Source organism: Homo sapiens, chromosome 9, assembly GCF_000001405.40.
Source record: "Homo sapiens chromosome 9, GRCh38.p14 Primary Assembly".
Classification (NCBI taxonomy): domain Eukaryota; kingdom Metazoa; phylum Chordata; class Mammalia; order Primates; family Hominidae; genus Homo; species Homo sapiens.
This window is the reverse complement of record NC_000009.12, coordinates 40,768,496-40,778,182: the sequence shown is the minus strand read 5'-3', so window position 1 is coordinate 40,778,182 and position 9,687 is coordinate 40,768,496.

Genomic DNA, 9,687 nt, shown 5'->3' with positions numbered 1-9,687 from the left:
CAGAATAATCATTACCAGGGACTAGTGTGGGTGAGAAGTTATTGTTTAATGGGTACAGAGCTTCTATATGGGATGATTAAAGAGTTCTGGAAATGGACAGTGGTAAAGGTTGTGCAACTTGGTGAATGTAATGCCCTCTGAACTGTTCATTTAAAATTCATTAAAGTGACAAATTTTACAGTATGTGTATTTTACCATAATTTAAAAAAGAAAAATAAAGAAAAAATATGTATTCCCAATTGCACTGTATTTTTGGTTATTAAGCATAAAATTTAAACTTTATTAAACTTATTAGAAAAAGGGAATTGGAAATGTGATATAATGCAGTAATTCACAAAAATGCATACAGTAAATGCACTCAAGAGCAGTTTTTCTGATGCTTGATGAACTCCTATCAGTTGTGAATTAAAACTGATTAATATCCTTCATGGAAACAGATCCATAAGGTCTGGCATTGTCTTTTTCTACTAGAGAGAAACCTAGAAGTTATCACATAATTGCATAGCGTCTAGGATCAAATCAACTAATACATAGCCAAGTCAAAAGAAAATGAAGTAATCTTTGGGTTGGCCTTTTAGATGATAGCTTTTAATAATGTAATATTACACTAAATATACATGTGTTATGTCAGAGTTTTAGATACTTTTCCTTAGCAGTCCCCTATCACAAATATGTCCTCTGTTAGTGCTAATCCATAACTAACTCAGTTCCTTATTTTCATGTCAATAATCTTCAAGTGTTATTCTCTTTTTTATTTTTTTATTTTTTTGAGACAGAGTCTGGCTCGGTCTCCCAGGCTGGAGTACAGTGGTATGATCTCGGCTCACTGCAGGCTCTGCCTCTGGGTTCACGCCATTCTGCTGCCTCAGCCTCCGGAGTAGCTGGGACTACAGGCGCCCGCCACCATGCCTGGGTAACTTTTTGTATTTTTAGTAGAGACGGGGTTTCACCATGTTAGCCAGGATGGTCTCGATCTCCTGACCGCGTGATCCGCCCGCCTCAGCCTCCCAAAATGCTGGGATTACAGGCGTGAGCCACCGGCTCGGCCTCCAAGTGTTATTCTTAATCAAAAAAAGAAAAAGTTTATCTGACTATAGTTGACCCTGATTATTTATGTAGCTTCAGAAAGAGGAGTTAAACACATAGGTGAAGTCTTCCCTCCACCAGGTTTTAAAATGTAAGATTCATGGCCTTCTGAAAACACTCCCTTACCAATGTGAGGCTGGAACCATAGAACAGGTGGAGGAGTTAGTAGGTATTGGCTCAACATTTAAAGTACAATCTTGTTCCTTAATAGGTATTTTCATACCTTATAAACACATGTATGGCCTTGGATGTCCAATTAAATCCCAAGAGAAAAGGACAGATTCTTGATGAAACTATGCAAATAATAAGAAAGCAAGTAAAAAGGGCTCCTCAGCAGAACCTCCGACCAGCTTGCACACTGACAGGAGTGCACAATGAGGTGGTGCCTCGGGAAGTTTGCAGCAGGGAGGAGCCTGGCCTCTTCTGTTCCAGGGCGGAGGCTGGGATTCAATCTATGAGGCAGGAAGCTGGGAAGCAGGACTCACTTTACTGACAGTCTCTGTTTCCCCTTTTTTCCCTTTCGCCCAATAAATTCCATTTTTCTCACCCTTCAAAGCATCTGTGAGCCTAATATTTCATGGCTGTGTGACAAGAACGCAGCTTTTAGCTGAACTAAGGAGACAGTCCTACAATAATAATATGTTGACCTACAAGCATGGAGAGTCAGTACAAATATATTGTTCTGAATTCTCAGAGAAAAATAGAAATTAGACAGTGTTTGAATGATGTATTTCACTTACCAGGTGTAGTATATAAAATTGAGGATCAGAGCTAGAAAAAGAAACTGTAATTAATACTCCTTCTACTGGATGTTGAGTCAGTTTTTTGCTTTGATAAAATTATCTACCAATGAGGCAAAAAGATAAATCCTTAAAACAATGTGATTTAAAAGTAAGTTATTATGCTCAGTACTTTATAGGAGAACATTCAAGTAAGTGTCAGAGGAAAACAAAAACCACCTAGAGATGCAACTAAATGGCTGTTTAATTTATATAGTAAACAATAATATAAAAATGGAGAAGAATAAAATTCTGCATTAGGTTCAATACTATCTCATAAAGACTTGACCAATGTTTCACCTGGGGGCATATACCTCTCCAATTTCCTATTACAATCTCTAATCTATGAGTTAAATGTCTACAGTTCCTAAACCATTCACCTCTTTTTTTTTTTTTTTTTTTTTTTTTTTTGAGACAGAGTATCCCTGTGTCACCAGGCTGGAGTGCAGTGGTGCCATCTTGGCTCACTGCAACCTCTGCCTCCTGGGTTCAAGTGATTCTCCTGCCTCAACCTCCTGAATAGATGAGACTACAGGCATGCACCACGATGCCCAGCTAGTTTTTGTATTTTTAGTAGAGATGGGGTTTCACTATGTTGGCCATGATGGTCTCGATCTCTTGACCTCCTGATCTGCCCACCTCAGCCTCCCAAAGTGCTGGAATTACAGGCGTGGGCCACCGCACCCCGACACCATTCATCTTAATATGTAAGATTATGTAAAATGAACTGAGAAGGCTGAGCCCTTTAGAATTGACCTCATGCAACTCACGCAGTTGTGTAGAACTAATGAAGAAATATGGGGCACACCAAAGAAGCCCAATTTATTTTAGTCTCACTCATGTTATAAGGCAACAATTGTCACAGTTTTTCTAGAGGTCACCTAGGAAATCTAAAAAATACTTATTTTTCCCTAAAAATCAGAAAACATTTACTTTTTGGAATTTAAGATATAATTTCAGATGGGCAAAAATTAAGTGTTATCAGAGGAGATTTGGTCACTGTGATAAAGATAGGAATACAGGTGCAGAGAAGAAAATGGGGGCAATAATCCCAATAACAATATAATATTCTAAAATAAGCATAGAAAAAGATATCATAATTGTTAGAAAATGTATCCCTTTCATAATTAATTATGATGTACAAATGTTTTTTTCTTATTTTTCTTTTTAGCTACATTGAAGTAAGATTGATAAATAAAAATTGTACATATTTAAGTTATATAATATGATGTGATGTGTGTATACATTGTGAAGTAATAGCCACTGTCAATTAACATTTTCATCAACTTACAAAGTTACACTTTCTCTGTGTGTGTCTATGTGTGCTTGTATGGAAATACGTAAGACCTACCCTGTTAGCAAAATTCAAGTATACAATGCATTCTTATCAGCTGTAGCTACTATGCTATATATGTTAGGTATCCAGAATTTATTCATCTTTTAACTAAAAGCATCTCCCCCTTTTTCCTACCTTCTAATCCCTAGCATCTAATGAGTTTAAATTTTTTAGATTTCACAGATAAGTGAGATGATGCAGTATATTTGTCTTTCTGTGTCTCACTTATTTTACTTAGCAATATGTTCTCTCAGTCCATCAATGCTATCACAAATTTTAGGATTTCCTTTTTTCTAAGGATGAATAATATTCCATTGTATGTATATGCCACATTTTCTTTATCCACTAATCTGTAATAAAGGCTATTATTCAAAATACACAAGAAACCCTTCAAATTTCACAAGAAAGCAAACAATTCAGTTAAAAATGGGGAAACAATATAAATGGATAAGTCACCAAAGGAAATATAAAAATGGCAAATAAGTATTTGAAAATATATTCAACAGCATATGACTTTAGGGGGATAAAGCAATTCTATATATTGAAATTTCCTTTAACAAAGAAAGCAAATAGAAAACTTTCTCAGAAAAACAAAATTTAAGTGATTGTCAGCTGACCTGTCTTGCAAGAAATACTAAAGGAAGTTCTTCAAGGGGAGAGAAAATGATGCAAGTGAGAAATTCAGATACACAATAAAGAAGAAATAAATGAAAAAGAATAAATTAAAGTTAAAAACTTTTTTTATTCTTATTGATCCATAACTGTTTAGTAACAAAAAATGGGTAATTATAGAATGTGGAGAGATGAAATGAACAATAGCAATGTCATAAGGTACAGGAGGTACAATCTGGTAGTATTTTTATGGGATACCTACACTACATGTGAAGTAACAATTTTATTTGAAGACAGACATAAAATGTATATAATCAATTCTACTTAATTTAAAGATAGACTTAAAATGCATATAATCAATTCTAAGATAACCACCACAAGTTTTTAAAAGAAGTGATGAGATCACATCTCATGAGGTGATGAGATACACCAAGAGCTGAGATAAAAATACAATCATAGAAGATGCTCAATTAAAATAAGAGGAGGCAGGCCAGGCACGGTGGCTCATGCCAGTAATCCCAGCACTTTGGGATGCCAAGGTGGGTGGACCACCTGAGGCCAGCCTGACCAACATGATGAAACACGTCTCTATTAAAAATATGAAAGTTAGCCTGGTGTTGTGGCACACATCTGTAATCCCAGCTACTCTAGGCTGAGGTGGGAGGATCACTTTAACCTGGGATGTGGAGGTTGCAGTGTGCCAAGACCACCACTGCACTCCAGCCTGGGTGACAGAGTGAGGCTCTATCTCAAAATAAAATAAAATGAAATAAAAATAAATGAATATAATTAATGTTTATATTCTACTTCAACAAAAGTAGAATACACATTCTTCTCCAGTTTGTACAAGACACACTGCATTATGGGCCATAAATGTCTTAAAATTTTTCAAAGAATAAAGTTCATACAAAGTACACACTCAGACCACAATAAAAATTAAAGTAGAAATAAATAGCAGGAAGAGCTGAAAAATTTTTCAAATATTTGAAGACTTAAAAAACATCTAAATGCATCCCAAAAGAAGACTAAAGAGTAACTAAAATATTTAGAATTAAAAGGAAATGGAATCACAACTTATTAAAATATATGAGATACAGTAGAACTAGTACCTAAATTTATAGCATTAAATGCATATTATTATGAAAAAGGAAATAAAAACAATAACCTAAGCTTCTGCCTTAAGAAACTAGAAAAAGAAAATCCAAAGTAAGTAACAAGGGAAAAAATATATAAAGTATAGCAGATATCAGTAAAATAGAAAACAGGAAAACAATAGAGAAAATCAATGAAACAGAAAGCTGTTTCTTTGAAAAGATCCATAAACTTGCTAACATTTAGACAAACTAATAAAGAAAAAAAGAGAGAATGCACAACTTACAAATATTGGAAGTGAAAGAGGGATATGGGTTATGACTCCTGATTTTGTGGACATTAAAAGGATAATATATTTACTATATTAAAACTCTATACTCACAAGTTGAATAACCTATATAAAATGGACAAATACCTTGAAAGACACAATATGCCAATACTCACAAAAGAAAAAATAAATAACATGAGTACTCTTATATCTATAAAAGGAATTGAATAAATAGTTAATAACTCGCCCCCCCACCAATGGTTCCAGGCCCGAATGTCTTTAGTGGTGAGTTCTATCAAGCATTTAAAGGAGAAATTATACCAATTTTCCACAGACTTTTCAAGAAAATGGAATTAGAGAGAACACTTCCTAATTCATTCTATGAGGTAAATATTACCCTCTTACCAAATCCAATAGGCATAACATGAAATAAAATCAATATATCAATATCTCTCATGAACAAAGATTCAATAATCCTTCACAAAATACTAGACAATTGAATCTAACTATGTATTTATTCTAGGTAAGACTGTATGCAAGACTGATTCAATATTAGAAAATTATCTGCAGAATTTCCTAAATCAACAGGTTAAGGAAGAAAAATCATGTGACTGTATCAACCGATGTAGAAAAAGCTTATGGCAAAATCTATCACCCATCTATAATTTGAGAAACTCTCAGAAAACTAGGAATTGAGGTGAATTTTCTTAACTTGAAAAAGAACATCTACAAAAACCCTAGAACTATCATACTTAATGATGAGAAATGGGATGCTTTTTCCCAAAAACCAGGAGCAAGAAGAATTTTGTTTTTTGTTTTTTTTCTTTCACTGCTTGCAAAATGAAACCACCACTTTGGAAGACAGATGGGCAATTTCTTATGCCCATAGTTGCTATACTACATGTAAAAAAAAGTCTTAAATATAATATAGCAATTGTGGTTTTTTTGTTTGTTTTGAGATGGAATCTTGCTCTGTCACCCAGGCTGGAGTGCAGTGGTGCAATAGAAGGATACTGCAACCTCCACCTCCTGGGTTCAAACAATTCTCCTGCCTCAGCCTCCAGAGTAGCTGGGAATACAGGCACCTACCACCATGCTCGGCTATTTTTTTTTTTTTTTGTATTTTACTAGAGGCAGTATAACCTGCTGATTTGGGAAATTTTACCATGTGGCCCAGGCTGGTGTCCAACTCCTGAGCTCAGGCAATGCGATCGCATCGGCCTCCCAAAGTGCTAGGATTACAGGCGTGAGCCATCGTGCCTGGCTGCAAATGTGTTTTTAGGTGTTTATCCACCTTATTTGAAAACTATGTCCACACCAAAACTGGTACATGAATATATATATATAGCAGTTTGTTTATAATTCCCGAAACTGGAAGAAACCAAGAGGTCTCATAATTGATGAATGGAAAAAAAAAAACAACAAAAAACACTGTGATACATCATATAAGGGAATATTACTTCCTAAAAAAGTAAATGATCTGGCAAAAGATTCAGTGAGGAGGTTTAATAGGTGAAGCACATGGGCATTATTTGGACCAGTCAAAGTATTCTGTATGATACCACAACTGTGGAAACATGAGAGTATGCATTTGCGTTTGTTTTTTTTTTGTTTTGTTTTTTGAGATGGAGTCTGCTCTGTCGCCCAGGCTGGAGTGCAGTGGCACGATCTCGGCTCACTGCAAGCTCCGCAACCCGGGTTCACGCCATTCTCCCGCCTCAGCCTCCCGAGTAGCTGGGACTACAGGCGCCTGCCACCACGCCCGGCTAATTTTGTTTTTGTATTTTTAGTAGAGACGGGGTTTCACCATGTAGCCAGGATGATCTCCATCTCCTGACCTCGTGATCTGCCCGCCTCGGCCTCCCAAAGTGCTGGGATTAGAGGCGTGAGCCACTGCACCCGGCCTGCATTTGTTAAAAAACAAAGAATCTCACAGCACAAAGAGTGTCACTTAATATATGCAAATTTTAAAACAACAACAACAACAACAAAGTAGGTGTTCTGGGGATCCTGGGATGGAATGCAGAAAGTGATAAAAAATCTAAAGTACTACAAATGTATAAAGCCACTTCACTCTAGGGAGTGGGAAAAACGTGCTGACATAAGCATCTTAGAAAATGGATGGGCCTTCTGTGGTGGCTCACACCTGTAATCCCAGCACTTTAGGAGGTCAAGGTGGGCGGATCACCTGAGGCTGGGAGTTTGAGACTAGCCTGGCAAAAATGGTGAAACCCCGTCTCTACTAAAAAGACAAAAATTAGCTGGGCATGATGGCAGGTGCCTGTAATCCCAGCTATGCAGGAGGCTGAGGCAGGAGAATTGCTTGAACCTGGGAGGTAGAGGTTGCAGTGAGCCGAGATCATGCCACTGCACTCCAGCCTCAGCCTGGGCAAGAAGAGCAAAACTCCATCTCAAAAAAAAAAAAAAAAAAAAAAAAAAGAAAGAAACAAAATGCATGAAGACTGAAAGGAAGAGAAACTGCAAACAACTCATGTGATCTGGTTGGTATAGCTGTTTCCTACAGGAAATGGGATAATGATTCTGATATTGATAGAGAATAAATGTATATTGGAACTAGACAGTTAAGCAAATGGATGACAAATGACAGGAGTCTAGTTTCTCACTATTAAAGTGGTAGGTTACATGTAAGCAAAGGGAGAAGGCCAGAATGATCATGTGATAAAAGAATTGAGTCGTAGACATCAGTATGAACTAACACTTACACACATTACATTTAGAAATATTTATAGTTATGTCTATACACAGCTTTGTATACACACATTTATTTATTTGCTCTGTAAGCTAAGACAGTCTAGAACCAATGATATCCCAGCAGAAATGAGCACATCTAACACTCAAGTCTTCAATTCTTGGGTTTTTGTTCATGACCCGGGATCCAGGAGTTGGGCCCTGGGGCTGGGCATTGTGTAGCCTCCGGGGTGGTGCTGAGCATCCATTCCCACTCTCCTGCAGCTGAGGACCCATCCCTTGACTTGGGCCCCCTGGAGGCAAGAACATGGTCACCCACTTTAATCACATGGTCCCTATCACATAATCAGAGGGTGCTGTGGGTTTTAACTCTTCAAGCTTGATGTGTAAAGAATTCGACATAAATATGATATAGTGACTAGAAGTATTTTATTTATTTATTTTGAGAGAGAGAGTCTCTGTTGCCCAGGCTTGGAGTGCAGCGGCACAAACAATCAAACAATAACCAAAATCCAGAAGACTGAAAAAGTCAAATGCTGTCAAGGATGTGGAGCAACAGGACCTCTCATTCCTTGTTTGTGGCACAATCAGTTTACTGTACCCACGAACTCCCGGGTGCAAGTGATCCTCCCACAATCTATCTCCCAAGTAGCTGGGGCCACAGACATGCACCACCATGCCTGGCTGATTGGTTTTATTTTTACAGAGATGAACGTTCTCTGTGTTGTCTAAGCTGGTCTCAAACTCCCGGGATCAAGCGATCCTCCTATCTCGGTCTCCCAAAGTGCTGTAAGTACAGGCATGAGGTCCTGCACCCAGCCTGGAAGTCTTTATAGATAAGTTCAATTTAACTGTTTCTCCATCTGCTCTACTCAGCCAAGTTTCCCTCTCAGTCCAAGGGACTGACCAGGATGGCTGCAGATTACCCAGCGCCACCGCCATACTCCAGATGCTGCTCAACGAGGAAGGGATCCTGAGGCCTGGCAGCTGGCGCTCTCAGCAACCTTGAAGCCCTCTAAACGGGACGGGCCATCCGTGCCTGTCAGAACTGTAGCCACTACCTGCACTTGGCACACAGGCAAATACGGCCAAGCAACCCCAAACTCCCCTCTTCCCCTCTGGGCCCAGGCAGCGCTGAACCTGCCACTCAGCTCCATCCTGGCGACTGCACAGTCCCCAGAGCCTGCAAACCAGCACTCAGGGCGCGAGCCAAGGAAGAGCAGGGCCTAGAGTGGGAGGGCGTGTGCCACTCAGTGACCCTCAGGCCATCGGGCCCAGCCCTGCAGCCTCTACCATGGGCTCAGCTGCAGCTGGCATTTGAAGGTGGCAGCAGCAGTGGCAACCCCAGAACATGTCCGCCCCACCAGCAGGCGAACCCCAGGGTCGGACAACGCCACTGCACCTAAGTCAGGCAGTGGGACCTCAGTTGCAGGAGGGTGGGAACCTGCCGCAAAGCCTCATGGCCGCAGCTGTACAGGGCCCAGTGGTGGCGAGCCTGCACTGCCAGCGCGAGCTGAGGAAGAGCAGAGCCCCGGGTGGAAGGGCGATGTACTCGGCAATGCTCAGTGGTCTGGGCCCAGCTCTGTAGCCTCTACCATGGGCTCAGCTGCAGCTGCCACCTGGCAGCAGAGGCTGCAACCCCGACCCTGCCAGCGCCACCAGCAGCATGGATACTTGGGCCAGAAGCCTCCAGGGCGCCTAAGTCAGTGGTTGGGTCCCTGGCTGCAGGAGGGCGGGAACCGACGCTCAGCGCCACCCCAGAGGCTGCACGATGCCCAGCACCAGGGCCCAGCTCCTGGATCTCA